General features: G+C 57.2%; 1 protein-coding gene across 7 annotated transcripts in view, besides 2 other annotated features; it reads left to right on the top strand.

Annotated features, from left to right (window-relative positions):
- Positions 1 to 295: an enhancer, noted in NCBI's record as "tiled region #12785; K562 Activating DNase matched - State 8:EnhW". NCBI's record gives its function as "activates a minimal TATA promoter and a strong SV40 promoter by Sharpr-MPRA in HepG2 cells {active_cell/tissue: HepG2}" and the evidence as "EXISTENCE:reporter gene assay evidence [ECO:0000049][PMID:27701403]".
- Positions 633 to 942: a silencer, noted in NCBI's record as "silent region_9029". NCBI's record gives its function as "represses an Ori minimal core promoter by ATAC-STARR-seq in GM12878 lymphoblastoid cells {active_cell/tissue: GM12878}" and the evidence as "EXISTENCE:reporter gene assay evidence [ECO:0000049][PMID:35858748]".
- The window catches only part of MGAT5B (alpha-1,6-mannosylglycoprotein 6-beta-N-acetylglucosaminyltransferase B), an 81,990-nt gene continuing 67,052 nt past the window's right edge, over positions 798 to 15,735 (top strand). For 5 of the 7 annotated variants that reach the window (NM_001199172.2, NM_144677.3, XM_011524352.3 and 2 more), the window contains exons 1-3: positions 798 to 1,491; positions 5,245 to 5,357; positions 14,545 to 14,692. In NM_001199172.2, the coding sequence (NP_001186101.1) occupies positions 1,424 to 1,491; positions 5,245 to 5,357; positions 14,545 to 14,692 (329 nt within the window). In that variant the 5' untranslated portion in view covers positions 798 to 1,423. Of the gene's footprint in view, positions 1,492 to 5,040; positions 5,358 to 14,544; positions 14,693 to 15,735 lie in introns of those variants that run through there. The other 2 variants (XM_006721707.4, NM_198955.1) reach the window with 2 other exon arrangements.

The following is a 15,735-nucleotide window of genomic DNA, read 5'->3' on the forward strand; positions in this document are numbered from 1 at the left end:
CCTCAGAGTCATTTGACACATGACTGAGGCTTTGGGCACTTCCCAGGGTGGGGTGGTCAGATATGACCTCGGGAAGTGCTTTTGAAGCCGGAGAGCTTTCTTCAGGCTGGCTCTGCGAGCTCCCAGGAGTCTCTGTCTCTGCAACTGCAAACACATCTCCAGAGCCAGGAAGTACGAGGAGGGGGAGGGGAGGACGCCTAGATGCTAAGAGACGACATGAGATCCTACATGCTTTAGGGTTGCAAGGGACCTTGGTGAGCTTCTGGTCACTATCATTTCATAATGGAGACTCTGAGACGTGCACACTTGATCGCCCACTGGCTAGTGGAGGATCTGGGGCTACAACTCAGTACGCCCCTGCGCCTGGCTCTGTGAGCGGGCCCCAGCACCACAGGCCGAGTTTATACTCAGATCAGTAAGCAAAGAGGAGCCACGGGAGTTTCTGACCAGGGAGGGGCAGAAGATAGGCATGTGTTGCCAAGCGAAATCGTGGGAAGCGGCTGATGAGGAAGCCCACGGAGGCACCTGGCAGAAGAGAAGGGTCTCCGCTGGGTGCGCATCTCTTCTGTGCTCTGCGGGAGCCAAAGCAGCTTTCGGCCCTCGGGGCTGGTGGCGCCCTGGGAAGCTGCTTGGCTCAGGGGAAGGAGCAGGGACCCCCGCCCGCCCGTCCTCGAAGCTGGTCCTCGGCGTCCCAGCCCCGCACGGCCCCGGGCAGGGCGCACAGCGGGGCTGCGGCCACGAGGTGGCGCCGGCGCGCCTTGGAAGCGCAGCTGCAGCTCCCGGGCCGCCCCAGCGCCGCTCGGCCGCCTCCTCCGAGGAACAATGCGGCGCCTCCGGGCGTAGCGTCGCGCGGGGCCGGACGCCGGACACCAGAGCGCGGGCGGCGGAGCCAGCGGGCGAGAGAGCGCGCGGCGGGCGCGGGTTGCCCTCGTCGAGAGCCATGGGCGCGGCGCGGCGCGGGGCTGAGGATCGGCGCGGCCCGGAGGCGCTGGGGACCGGGGCGCGGGCCCGGGGCCGCCTTTAGCCGGCACCGAGGGCGCGGGGCCGGGGATGAGGGCGCCCGCCGCGGGGAGCCCGTCTGCGCGCCGCGGCACCTTCCCGCCCAGCGAGCGAGCCCGAGCAGGCAGACGCGCGGCCGGCGGTCTGGGGGCGCGCCGCCTCCCGGTCCCCAAAATGTGAAGCGGGGAGGGCGGAGACGCAGAGACGGCCCGGCCGGGCGCCCTCGCCGCCCTCCGGCAGCCGCGCCGCTCCCTCCGCTGCACGCCCAGGCCTGAGCAGCGAGGCCACCGGGCCGCGCGCTCCCAGCTTCGCTCGGACGCGGCTTCGGCCCGCAGAGGGTTCGTGGCCCGGACGCGGCGAGAGCTGGGCCCAGGACGGTGCGTCCGGCCTCGCCCGCGGCTGCTCGCACCAACAAGTTTGAACAATGATCACCGTCAACCCCGATGGGAAGATAATGGTCAGAAGATGCCTGGTCACCCTGAGACCCTTTCGGTAAAGTTCCCTCCTGGTTGGTTTTTTCCCCAGGGGGGCGCCGGGTGGAGGTGGGCGAGGTCGGTTCCTGCGAACGTTCAAGTCCTGGTGGCAGAGGGGGCGGTTCACACTTCAACCCCTGGTGATGACCAGTGGGGCTGGGCTGGGGGAACGGATGGCGTTGGGGTTCGGGGTGCGGATGGGGAGGGTTGTGTTATTCGGGGACCTGTCCCGAGTTGGGCAGGGTTGGAGAGGACTCGGGGTGCAGAGGTAAGAATGGGGGCAGAAAACCCCCAGGTCGTGGTCCTGGGCCCAGAAAGTTGCCCCAGCCTGCGCGCCCCTTCCCAGCCCCTCAGGGTCCTTCCTCACCCCGCGGACGGTCCCATCCGGGTGGCAAAGTTAGTGTGCGGCGCCTTGGAGCTCCCCCTCCGGTCCCTCCCGTCCCGCCCGTCTGCCCCTAGGTCGGCTACCCCCCAACCCCTCCGCCTGTGCCACCCTCTCCCCAGCCTTTGGTGGCACTGCTCTCCTCCCCGCGGGGCTCGGGCCTGGCTCCGACGAGAGGGTCCCGAGATTAGAGCGAGGACTCGCTCATCCCAGGATTCGCCCCCGATCGCAGGCGTCGGAGAGGCGGGGGCAGGGGCGGCGCTGCAGGGCTACGGGGCGGCTGGAGCCGAGGCTGCGGCGGAGCGTGGTGGGCGGGCGGTGGCGAAGGCGACACGCTTCGGGCGGCCAACACCTGGGGGCCCAGGCCAGGCAGGGCTGGGGCCGCGCGGGACTCACTGGACCCAGCCAGGGGCCCCCAGGGCCCAGCGGTGCCGGGGCAGCCCCCTCTCCTCCCAGGCATCCGCGGAACCGGCCCGCAGCGGGGTGGGGAGGGGGCGCTGCCCAGTGGACGCCCGGCGGGGCCCGAGTGTCACCCCGTGGGTAGCTGGGCAGCGAGGAAGCTGGGGGAGTGACCGCCCCGGCGCGGGGGCCGGACTCGGGACGTGGCCACAGGTGGGCTCCGGGCGCGGGAAGGAGCCCGAGAAGGCGGAGCTTGCAGGGGCCCTGAACTCTTGCCCTCCAGGTCTCGGCCCAGCCCCACTGTGGTCCCCCTGCCGGCTCCAGACGGGGATGGGGGCGGGGAGACGGTGGCTCACCTGGAGCCCGCCTCCCAGCACACCGGGCCTGTCTGCTGGGCCGAGGAGGCAACCCCAGGGGACGGCAGGGGTCAGGCTGGACCTCTGCGGTCCGGGGGTCCGGGAGGCCCGGAGAGCTGGTGCAGGCCGTGGGTGGTGATGGGGGCGTCGGGAGCCCATGGGAAGCAGGGCGGGAAGCAGGCGTCTCTGGAAAGGGCCTTGCTCCTCCAGGGAAGGCCTTGAATCCCTGGCCTGACTGGGAACGCTGGAGGGTCCTCGCCCCTTCCGACCCCATCCCTGTCCCGCCCTCCGGGCCGCTGGGTGTTTCCTGGCGCGATTGGAAGCAGCCGCGAGACCCCAGCACCACGGACAGTGCTCGCGACCCAGGGCTGCTTCCCTGTCTGGTCCTGCCCTGGTTTTCTTTCAGGCCCTTATCTGAAGGCAGGATTGGGGGTGGAGGTGCATGGGTCCCCAAAGTTGTGTAACTTCACCCCAGGGTCTCCCTGGGCTGCCCGGAGACCCGCAGCCATCAGTGAGTCCCTTCAGTTGAGGTGGGGGGCAGGCTGCAATCATAGCACCCCAGCTTATTCATCCTCAAAGGCAGGCTGGGGTCCTGTTCCCTGTGGTTTTCCCAGGGCTGCTGGCAGGGTCTTTATTCCATAGGTGCCCCTGGAATGTTGCTTGAGTGGATACATGGATGGCTGAAGCCATTTTAACTTGAATCCACTCCAAATGGCCCCCAGCTGCCTTGGGGGACATTGAACCCCAGGATGGGGTTCTGGCAGAGGGAGATGCAGATGAGGTGTGTTAGGGGGCTTCAGGTTCTGGGCTGAAGGGGGTAGACACCTTTCTCATAGCAGGGTTGTTGGATCCTGGCAGGCAGCCCAGGTCCCCAGCTCTAAATACAACTCCTTCACTCCCCTGGCCTCTTCTCCAGGGACTAGAGACATGAGTGGGGGAAGTCCGTCCTTGTCCTCAGACTGGGAGGACAAATAGCTGATTTCCCCTGGGATCTCCCTGAGCATGGGACAGCACCTCTCCTGTGCCATGGCCGTGGCTGTTGTCTCCAGAGCCACCTGACTTCCTCTGAGGGACCCCAAGATCTGAGCCCCACCCCCAGGCTTGGTGGAATTCCGTGAGGCGTCCCTCTGCGCTAAGGAAAGTGTCCCTTGCGCGGTCTTGCCTACTGAATCATGTCTCCTGTCCTTCCTGCTGGGGGTGTGGTCTTCGAGTCTCTCCTTGGAGCTCCCAAGCCCCTCTCTGCTTTGGGGTTCTCCTCTTCTCTGCCCAAATCTCTAACAGCTTCCTTTAAATATGGGCTGGGAATTTTGTTGTGCTTTTTATTTCCTTCTGCAATTATATGTTTTCTTTAATGGACCAAATTTTAATTAAATACTGCTCTGCCAGTTTCAAATAATGAAGATTAAAATGCATAAAGCAAGTCTTGCATAAAGACACAAACAAGCATGGAACTTGAGGGCGGGGAGTGGAGGGGCAAGGCCCGGAGGTCTCTGGCATGACGTGGGGCTCTCTCCAGGGAGCCTGACTCCACACAAGATGGGGTTCCTCACCCTGATCTGGGGTTGGTGGGAGGGCGCCCCTCTCAGCTCTACCAGTTCATCAAGTCCTCTGATAGGTTCAAGTTCCCAGAAGAGCCCCAAGGCTGTGCTGGTGAGCTCAGCTTGCCTGTTTGGGGCCTAGGATTGATGAGGGAAGCAGCAGGACCCTGGGTCTGGACTTGAGGAAGGAAGGGTTCTGTGCCTTGTTCCCTGCTGTCCCCCTGGGGTTACCCCAGAGCCTGGCTCCTGCTGGATAATCAATAACTACATGTTGAAGGCAGGAACAGGAGTCCTGTTCTGACCAGCCCTCCCTCCCACCCAGTGTGACAGCACACACACCTATATGACACCCCTTGCACAGGTATGAGGACACCCTGGCCAGTCCGTGGTGCAGGCTGATGACCCTGGGCGTGCCTGCCTAGGGGAGATGTGTGTTGGGGGGAGCCTGGGCATGGGCCGTGTGGCTCTGCCCTGGACATCTTACCATCTAGTGGTGGAAGTGGAGGGGGGTGTTCAAACAAGCTCATGACTGCTGCAGCAAGGCCTCTGCACACTGCACCAAGGCTGGCCTGAGTGATTGATGGGGTCTGGCTGGCCTCAGGCCCTGCTGTGTCCATCACTGGTTCTCAAACTTTAGCATGCAGTGGAATCTTCAGGAGACTTTGCTAAAACAGCTTGCTTGCTCCACCCCAGAGTATCTGATTCAGTAATTTGGGGTCTGGGCCCGGCATTGGCATTTCTAAGGAGTCTCAGGTGATGCTGACTGCTCGTCTGGGGACTGCACTTTCAGGACTGCAGCTGTTAATGAACCAGCTCTGCCTGGAGGCTAGAGCCCGCCTGCCTCATGCCTAAGTGTGCGTCATTCTGCCTTGTGGTTTCTCGTGTGGCTCGAGGCCAGCATCTTGTAGTTGAGCTCTCTTTATCCTATAGTGGGGGGGCCCTCCTGGGTCTGGAGCTCAGCCCCCATCCTTTCATTCTCCCTTGCTTCCTTCACTCATGCACTCATTCGTAAAACATTTGTGCAGCCGGTACGTGGTGGAGCGTCAGGGCACGATGGCCCTTCCTGCCCTCCTGACCCGCCTCCTTCCTCTCCGCAGGCTTTTTGTCCTGGGCATCGGCTTCTTCACTCTCTGCTTCCTGATGACGTCTCTGGGAGGCCAGTTCTCGGCCCGGCGCCTGGGGGACTCGCCATTCACCATCCGCACAGAAGGTACCTTGGTGGGGCAAGGGGAGTGTGAGATGAGTGAGGGCGTTTGTGGGTCAAAGAGGAAGTGCCTCTGAGCCTAGCCCTGTACCTGGCTTTCTGGCCGCCCTGTAGGTGGATGTGAGTGGAGGGGGCCTGGGCTTGGGCCGTATGACCCTCCATGCACTTTGGCTCTGGTCTGGCTGTGGTCATCAGGTTTCCTCTGGCCTGGATTCTCAGGCCAGGCTAGGGCCTTTAAGCCAGGGTCTTCCAGGCCTCAGAAGAGGCTGCCAGTGTTGCTTCTTTAGTTGGGTGTCAGGGGTGAGAGGTCTCTGGATATGACACTTGTCTCCTTGAGGCACACATTTCCTTGCCTTTGGCCCAGGCTGTGGCCATGTGGGAACGGGCCTGGCCATGGGCTTAAATGTCTTATCTCTGAGCTCTTGGGACACAGCTCCCTCCCAGGCCCCATCACTCCTTGCCCACACGATATTTGCAAGGCAGTGGAATGGAGATCAGAGCATGGGCTTTGGGCGTCTGGTGGGTCTGGGCTTGCATCCTTGTCATCACCTACCAGCTGTGTGCCTTTGGCTGAGTCACCTGGCTTCCCTACAGAGAAGGACAGCAGTGACCTTCTGCAGAGGTTGGATTGAAGGGGCTCACACGTGGACATTACCCAGCATGGTTGGTGCCACATGGCACAAGAGTGACCAGCTGGGAGCCCTCCTCCTGAAGCTGGGCCCAGCCCCACCTCATCTCACCTAAGGAGGGGTGGGGGTCAGAACTGAGCCCTGCTCACTGTATCATGGGGGTTCTTTTGGTCACTGGTCAAAAGGAGGGACATGGGGTAGTGGGGAAACTGAGGCAAGTAGGTTTCTGGAACTGTTCGAGGGTTGGCTCTGTGAGATTCCCCTGCCCCTCTGGGGAAGTCTCTCCTTGAAGTCCACCTTCTTGAACTTGCAGGGCTTGGCTTTCTGGCTCCCCTGTTCTGAGTGATGAATATTGTAGACATCCCAAGTTAAATAGGTTGTCATCTGGGTGGGTGCTGAGGGGCTCTTATTATGCCATCTGTCATCTCATCATTAGATTCATTCCTCTGGTTTCACATGCACTTCTTTAAACTTGCAAAAGCCCTCAGAAGGAATCTCACGCTTATTAGTCATTCAAGCCTGAGTGTAAGTTAATTTATCCCGTCTCTGACTTGCAGAGATTCCTCAATCTCTGAGCCTCCAAATTTTCCTCTGGTAAATGGGGATGGTAATACCCACTTCCCAGGCTCGTTGCGAGGCTGTGCAAAGATAAAGCAAGGGAAGGGGCCTCAGCAGCATCTGTCAAACGGCGAGCACTCCATCAATACTTAATGGATGTGTCGAGTCTGAAATGGGGGCACTGCAGCAAAGCGTGTTTATGAAAGAGGACCAAGGAGGTGCTGGAGTGTCTGTGTGGGAGAGGCTGAGGATTGAGGTGGGTGGGGATGGGAGGGAGCAGTCGTGAAGGTGAACCGGAAGGGTGGCTTGGGGAAGGGCTGGTGGGAAAAGTGGTGCATGGGAAGATGGGGTGTAGACAGAGATTCATAAACTACCTGGCTGCCACCCCTGGAAAGGAGGTGTGCCTATCTGGGTGGGCTGCTACAGAGGCCTTGAGGAAGTTGAACCTCCAGAAAGGTCAGGGGTCTAAGAGGTGGGAATTAGGGATGGGGGAGAGGAGGGGTTTTTGGCCGGGCTCTGGTTTTTATGCCTATCTCCCTAAGGGGGTTAGAGAGTCAAGGTAACTCACCTACCCCATGGCTCTTGCCCCATCTGGGCAGGATCAGACTCAGTGCCCCAGAGTGCAAGGGGTGTAGGAGCCCTGCTGTGCTCGGTGCTATGCAGTTTTGCCTGGGTATGGGGGTGGGGGTCCAACCCCAGCTGCAGGTCTGGGTCTAAAGATGGATGGAACCACATAGGAGAGCACTTGCCCAAGGTCATACAATTGGACTAGAGGTGTGTGTGCATTCGTGTGTACATGTGCATGTGTGTGCATGTGTGTGTGCGTGTACGTGGTCTTAAACTTTTTAATGGGGTATCATATACACAAATGAACAATCCATGCAACTAACAACCCAGAGCAAGGACCAGAACGTGATCAGTCCCCAAGTGTCCCCATGCCACTTCACAGTCATTACTCACCCAAGGATAGTCACGACTTGACTTCTGATCACATAGAAGAGTTCTGCCTGTTTTTTGGACTTTGTGAGCATGGAATCGTTTCAGGAGTTGATATGGTTTGGCTGTATCCCCACCCAAATCTCATCTTGAATCGTAGTTCCCATAATCTCCACCTCTTGTGGGATAGACCCTGTGGGAGGTAATTGATTCATGGGGGTGGTTTACCTTGGTGCTGTTCTTGTGATGGTCAGTGAGTTCCCACAAGATCTGATGGTTTTATAAGGGGCTTTTTCCCTTTTGCTCGGTACTTCCCCTTCCTGCTGCCATGTGAAGAAGGACATGTTTGCTTCCCCTTCCACCATGATTGTAAGTTTCCTGAGGCCTCCCCAGCCATGCTGGACTCTGAGTCAATTCAACCTTTTTCATCTATAAATTACCCAGTCTCAGGTATGTCTTTAGTAGCAACGTTGAGAATGAACTAATAGAGGAGTAGTCTTTTGTGTGTGTCTTTTCTCTCAGTAGTACATGTGTGAGACTCACTATCTTGTATGCGGTTGTAGTCACTTGCACTTTTTTTTTTTTTTTTTTTTTTTTTGCTGTGTAGCCTTCCATTGTGTGAGTACACCACCATATTTTTATCCATCCGACCATTGGTGGGCATTTGGTCGTTTCCAGTTTTGGGCTTTTGCGAACAGTGCTGCTATGAATATTTCAGTGCACGTCTTTTGGTAAACATACGTAGGCATTTCTGTTGGGTATACCTAGGAGTGGAGATTCTACGTGTTGTAACATTAGTTCTCAGACCAAGTTTATCCAAGCCAGTCTTTTCACATTTCCCAGGCCTCAGAAGCTGAGTGCCTGGAATACAGAACTGAAGTCCGGGAGAAGGAGGAGACAGACAAGAAAAGGGCCGCTGAGAACCCAGGAGAGCTGACCCTGATTCACTTTAGATCCCGACTCGCATTGTCCTCCATGATTTCTTTCATACCCTTGGATCAAGCTAATCTGCTTGGGCAGACCCAAGGCAGGGACTCAGGCCGGGAAAGCAGTGTGCAATGTGGGTTTAACATCCTGATCCTGCAAGAGAAGCCCCTCAAACTACATCCCCACGCAGTGCCTGGGGCAGCCCTGCAGAAAACCTAGGAGGTACCAGCATTTCCACTTAGGAGATGCCTGAGGGAAGGATTAGGGCTTCACGGGGAGGTGCTTGGCAAATTGCTTGGCTGAATCAGGCCTGGGGAGGGATCTTGGAAGTCCTGGGCCAAGGTTGGATTGTTGGATAATGCACGTTTTGTTACCCAAAAGAAATCTGCGGAGTCTAGACAACCCCAGAGCAGAATCAGGAGAAGGAAACCCTCTAAGGCCCTGCTATTTAGAAAAAAAAAAAAAAAATTGCATTGGTCAACAAAACAATCTGTGTACAAATGGGAAAAACAATCTCTCCTCCCCTGTCAAACCGGTGACAGAAGTGGGGTCCCACATGGACTGTGGCTGCGAAGGGAGAGGGAGGAGAAGGCTTTTCTCGAAAAGAAGAGGAGGGCGTCATTCAGCCTCTTGTGGACTGTGGTCTATGTGTGGGGCCTCCAAATTCTCCTCTGTGCCTGTTTATACTTCATGATAAACTGCGTACTTTGGGGATGAAATGTGACTGACATCTCATTCTGTATTCTGCACACTCATCTTAAAGATTCAAGAGAGGAGGCTGCATGGGGAATCATGACCCGGAGGAGATCTGACTTCTTTCCCTCTTGCTGCATTTGGGCTGGGCCTGGGCTCTGGGGAGGGCTTTCCGGCATTGCCCCCTCCCAGGCAGCTCTGCCCCACTTCCCACCCCAGGTCCTCCTCCTGTTTCCTGCCCTTCCAGCCCTTCTCGCCTAGGCCTCCTTCCCCATGTGGCTGCAGATAGTGCTGTGAGGCTGTTTCCTGCCCTCTGACTTGTCTTGAAGAAGCAGTGGTAGGAGGCTGGGTGTGGTGGCTCACGCCTGTAATCCCAACACTTTGGGAGGCTGAGGCAGGTGGATCACCTGAGGTCAGGAGTTCGAGACCAGCCTGGCCAGCGTGGTGAAACCCCATCTCTACTAAAAATACAAAAATTAGCAGGGTGTGGTGGCACGTGCTGTCATCTCAGCTCCTCGGGAGGCTGAGGCAGGAGAATTGCTTGAACCAGGGAGGAGGAGGTTGCAGTGAACTGAGATTGCGCCACTGCACTCCAGCCTGGGTGACAGAGCAAGACTCTGTCTCGGCTTAAAAAAAAAAAAAAAAAAAAAAGTAGTGGTAGGAGGCTATCTTTTGGGAGGGGTCTGTAGGCTGAAGGTCCATGGCACAGCTGCATGTGTCTACTGGGCCCTGCCAGACCTCCCAGGCCTCCACCAGGGATTGAACCTGGGGAAGGCTACCTGGCTCTGTGGATGGCTCTGGCTCTGGCTCTGGCCCTTGGTACTAAGGGGCCCTGGGGCTCTTCTCTCAGGCTTGATGGATGGGGGACCGGGGCCCGGAGGTCTGAGGAAGAGCCTGGTGTGGCCTCCCACGGCCTGTCCTTGTCTTCTCTGCTGCCCGGAGCCCAGAGCTCCCGTGGCCTCAGCTGGTTTCTGCGGTGAGCGAGTACAGAGAGATAAATGTGCGCATTTCTCCAGCTGCACGAACACCCAGTCACAGTTCCCTTCTCAGTGCCAGGGAGGTCTCTGCTTTCTGGAGAGATGGGGGCTCATTCAATTTCCAATGGTAAAGGGTGGGGATGGGGACAAGAAAAGGGGGACGAAGGAGGATGAGAGAGACAGAGAGAGACGAAGAGCGTCTGGGGAGGAGACGGGGCCTCGGTGGGTAATAAACACATCCCGTCTGTAAATGAGAGGATCTATTTGTATCTCCCAGCGTCCCAGCTTTCCTTATTTATATGGAAATATGGAGGGAACGTGTGCCTGTTCTGAGTTGTATCACTGGGGCCTCACATTAGATATATTTCAATTTAGCTGATGCCAAGAGTGGTGAAGTGACTCTGGGGAAGCGATGTCAGCTTGCTCTGCTGACAGTCCCGGGGCCAGTGGTGGCTTTTAGGGGAGTGGGTCACTGGGGGAGAGTCGGCCTGACCTGCTTCCCTCCTGGGTACCCACCCCCTGCCTAGTCTTTGGGCATTTCCAGAGCACAAAATGTGCCTGGTACCCCGAGGGCTCATTGGGAAGGGGTAGGGGCTGTCTCCCCAGGTCTCAGGGGTTTCTGGAGTTCCATGCCATCTGCAGAAGATGGGAGCAGCTCCTGAGCCCCTGGCACGGGGGGACTTGGTCCAGTCTGATGGGGTGGGGCTTGAAGAACTACAGAAGGGGCATCTGGTTCCGCAGGCATGGTCATCGTGAAACCCAGGCTGCAATGACCCATGCCTCTGTATGTCCTCAGGGTTTTTGTTTGTTTGTTTGAGAGAGGGTCTCGCTCTGTTGCCCAGGCTGGAGTGCAGTGGTGCAATCGTGGCTCACTGCAGCCTCAATCTCATGGGCTCCAGCAATCCTCCCACCTCAGCCCTGAAAGTAGCTGGGATTACAGGCACATGCCACCATGCCCAGCTAATTTTTGTATTTTTTATTGAAAAGGGGTTTTGCCATGTTGCCCAGGCTGGTCTTGAACTCCCGAGCTCAACCAATCCATCCACCTTGGCCTCCCCAAGTGCTGAGATTATGGGCATGAGCCACTGCACCTGGCCTGCTGCCAGTTTTTATAGGAGCGTTTCTTTCTTTTCCCATTTCTCTAATCTCCGGAGGCAATTAGGGGAAGACACAGAAACAGAAGTCAGGGCGATAGAGACTCAGAGCTCAATGAGCCCAGCCCCCTCATTTTACATGAGGGTAAATTGAGGCCAAGAGAAGGACGGTGACCTGCTCACCTGTCTGGTCCGCAGCAGAGCGGGCCTGGAGTCCAGGCTTCTGCCCCATCCCCCTTGACTGGGCCCATGCCACCATGCTGCTGCTGCAGCCTCCACTTTGTTGACTTTCAGGGGCCTCTGCAGCTCTAGGCCAGCCCTCATAGTTTTTGGCCCATCATCTGTTTTTCAGCCTGCTCAATGGGACTGGGAGCGTGGGGTGTGGGTAGGGAGCTGTGACCGTGAGGTTTCTGGGAGGGGGCTCAGGCGATAGGCAGGGGCAGAGGAAGCTTGGGGTGGGCTTGGAGAGTGGGACCAGTAGTGCAGCAGGCAGGGTGCCAGGCCTAAGGCGCTCCAGGGAACACAGCGTCACCCCAAAAGCCACGCTGTGGGCTCAGCACCACTGGGGTGCTGCGTCTGCAGGAACGAGCTGCTGACCAGGCTCTGTGGTCAGTCAGGCCTGAGTGCTCTGGCCACGGCACCGCTATGGTGTCCCAGCTGTGAGACACCTTATGGGATGAAACATTCCTTTTTTCATCTCAGTCCTTTGGGGAAGGGACTACTCCAGCCCGAGCTATGAGCGACAGCCCACCAGGGCTGCCCAGTGAGGCCACGCAGGCTGTGCGCTGCACGACTCCACGACAGACACCCTTTAGGCGGCCACAATACCAGTGGTGTCCTGTGGAGTTGTAGAAAGCAGTGGCCAGGCAGGTCATCTGATGTCCTCCAGTTTTTTTAGCTGAAATGATGGAAATCTCTTCATCTACTCTGTGCTACAAGCACTGGTTGCAAGCTCGGTATTGAATTTGGATGATGGGCTTGGGCAGACATCTCTGAAACGAGAGTGATCTGAAAAAGTAAACCGTTGCCCCCGCCTCTGGGAAGCTGAAAGAGAGAGGGAGCTATCTATATCCTGTTTTCTCCCACTCCTTTGGAGAAGGACTACTCCAGCCCAAGTTATGAGCGATGGCTCACCAGGGCTGCCCAGATTAACCGATTGAGTGTGTGAGTGCGTGGGGAGGGCCTGAGAGGCTGGAGAGACCTGAGTTAGTGTCATCTAACGCTAGTATGAAATTTCCCGGTCCCAGCTGAGTTTTTGAAAATCCACTCTGTTTTCCGTAGAGGGACTTGTGGGGAGGTCCTTTGCTGCTTCAGCTCTTGGGGTGGGGAGGAAATATGCCCATTTTCTCCAATACCCGACCCCCTCCGTGAGCCTTCCTGGGCATCTCTGCCTCTCTCTCCTCCTTTTCTTCTGCCCGCCACATCCCCCCTGCTCCCATTCATGCCTGTTCTTCAGAGCCAGGAGCCCTGTGTCTTTAAGGAAATCGCAGCTTCTCCTGTTTTGCAGCCCTAGCCTGGCCGGCATTTCCAAGGTGTGTGAGTGGTCCCGCCCCAGCTCCTGTGGCCTCCCTTCTGACCTCAGGCGGGTTCACCTGGCAGGGGAGCCCAGCCAGGGGGTGACTTATATCAGGGTGGGAACGTGGCAGCAGTGGCTGGGCCAGCCAGAGCCAGGGAAGAAGGGCAGAACCAAAGCAGAGGTGTGAGAGCAGCCCCGGTGATGCAGAAGCCGCTGGCTGCCCCTGCTCCGCCCACTGCCTCTAGCTCCCTCTCTCCTTTCCCTGTTCTGCCTCTTCTCAGTGGCCTCTCTCGTCACCTTCCTGGTCCTGTGGTCTGCAGACGGGGCCTGTTATTCTTGCCTTGAGACGGGGATGCTGAAGCTCAGAGCCATTCAATGACTGCCCTGGTCACACAGGGGTCAGCGGGCAGAGGCCCCAGTCCCCTTGCCCCTCCCCAGGTGGGGAGACTGCAGTGTGTTCTACATGGTCTCAGGGCTCCCCAGCAGGGCTAAGGTTGGGCGCCCGGGTGGTAATATTCTCGGCAGTGCAGCTTTCCACAGCTTCCCCGTCTCTCTTCCTCACTCTCCTGCTGGGGTTTCCATTAGCTCCCGGTTAAACTACTCACCCTCAAACCCTTGTCCCAGGCTCTGCTTCTGGGGAGCCCAACCCACGGCATCCTCCATTGGGCCCCTGGACTGGCAGCCTGGGAGCATCGAAGGTTCATGTTCCCAGGTGACTTGGCTCGTTTTGGGGGAGTGATTTCAAGCCTGATCCATAGGGGTTTGGGAGGAGCTGAGTTGCGGATTTTAGTGCCTGGAGCCCAGCACCCTATGGACTGTGTGGAGGGGCAATGTGAAGCCTTCAGATTTAATTAAAAAGGAAGGCGAGAACTCGCTCCCGCACACTGGCACGTGCAGCGCTAATGATCGGGAATGATTAGAAAGGAAGCCGTGGAGGACTGCAGGCTGGCTGATGGGATCTTGGTCGAAGTGCCTCATTTTCATGTAATTTTCTTCTTCATAAGGTCTCCCCTCCCCAGGCTGGGAGCAGAGGGAAGAGCAGCCGCCTCAGCCCCAGGGAACCTGCCCTTGTCAGTTGATCTTTGGAAATCCAAAGACCAGCTTGAGATTCAGAACACATGCATTATGGTTTCCAACAGGAGGGTCCAGGGAAGAGGGATGGGGAAGAGATGGAGTTAGGGCCCAGAGGCCGGGCAGGAGAAGGAGGGCTGGGGAAGCAACAGGGCCCTGGGGCCCTGAACACAGGCTCCCAACTTCCCTGCATGTCCGGATCCATGGGGAGCAAGGAAAGTGCAGATTCCCGGGCCCCGGGTCCTAGAGAGTTGAATGGGCAAATCTAGACCAAGGCCCAGAAATCTGAATTTTAACAGCCTGGCCAGAAGATTCAGATGCTGCTGGGTGATTGGCCACACTTCTAGGAACCCTGATCTAGAAGTCCTGCCTGGAGCTTACCGTTTGGGGGCTCTGGGGCTTCTTTCCCAGTGCTGGGCCTTTTCTGCCATCTCACGGACATGAGGGTTGTTGGGCCCCAGAGCACCTCAAAGGTTACATCTAAAGTTCCTTTTTATGGTTGACAAAATTGAGGCCCAGAGGGCTTAGGAAATGATCCCAATGTCACATGGCTAGTGGGCAACGGGGCTGCCCAGGGCTCTGCACTCCGCCACGATGCTGTTCTCTGCACCGCAAAGCAATGCAGCAAAAGGGTCAGCAGTGCCTGGGAAGATGGAGCTGAGGCTGGGGTCTGGTGTTGGTTGGTGCTGGGGGACTTTGGGGCCAGCTTTGTCTGAGCTGCCCCAGCTCGGACACCAGGTGGCCTCCAGGCTGCTCGGGCCTCCCCTAACCATACCCACACTCTGCCCACAGTGATGGGGGGCCCCGAGTCCCGCGGCGTCCTGCGCAAGATGAGCGACCTGCTGGAGCTGATGGTGAAGCGCATGGACGCACTGGCCAGGCTGGAGAACAGCAGTGAGCTGCACCGGGCCGGCGGCGACCTGCACTTTCCCGCAGACAGGTGAGGGGACGTGGGGAGGAGGCACACGGAGCAGGGGAGCGGTGGCACCTGCCACTCCATCCGGGGTGCTGTCCGTCATCTCCTTTTGTGAATCTGGAGAAGATTTGGACCACACTGTGGTACAGCCCAGAGTGCATTTCTACCACCCAAATTTAACAACCGTTAACATTTGGTCACATTTGTGGCCTGTTTTCCTCTTTAAATAAAACGTCACAGATGAAAACTAAAAGGCCTTTTAATGACTTCTCCCTAGAGACAAGTGCCTCCCTGAATTTGCTGTAAGTTTTTCCAGTCCATTCCGAGCACATTTGCACATATGTTTAACACACACACATTATAAATTCATAGTGTGTGATTTTAACAAATTCCATGTAAGTGGCATCTCACAGCACATATTCCACTGCCCCTTTTTTTTTTTTTTTTTTTTTTTGACACAGAGCCTGGTTGACTCTGTCACCCAGGCTGGAGTGCAGTGGCACAGTCTCAGCTCACTGCAACCTCTGTCTCCTGGGTTCAAGCGATCCTCCCACCCCAGCCTCCTGAGTAGCTGGGACTACAGGCGCCCACCACCACACCTCGGTAATTTTTGTGTTTTTAGAAGAGACAGGGTTTTACTATGTTGGCCAGGCTAGTCTCAAACTGCTGACCTCATGATCCACCCGTTTGGCCTTCCAAAGTGCTGGGATTACATCTTTGCCTTTTAAATTAAAAAAAAAATTTTTTTTTGAGACACTCTTACTCTGGGCTGGAGTGAAGTGGCACGATCTTGGCTCACTGCAACCTCTGCCTCCCAGGTTCAAGTGATTCTCGTGCCTCAGCCTCCTGAGTAGCTGGGATTATAGGAGAGCACCACCACGCCAGTTAATTTTTCTGTTCTTTTTAGTAGAGATGGGGTTTCACCATGTTGGCCAGGCTGGTCTCGAACTCCTGACCTCAGGTGATCCAACCGTCTCAGCCACCCAAAGTGCTGGGATTACAGGCATGAGCCACCCCGCCTTTTTTAAAAAAATCTTTTCATGATGATTTTGAACTCTGTGTTGAGG

Source organism: Homo sapiens, chromosome 17 (genome assembly GCF_000001405.40).
Source record: "Homo sapiens chromosome 17, GRCh38.p14 Primary Assembly".
In the NCBI taxonomy this organism is placed as follows: Eukaryota; Metazoa; Chordata; class Mammalia; order Primates; family Hominidae; genus Homo; species Homo sapiens.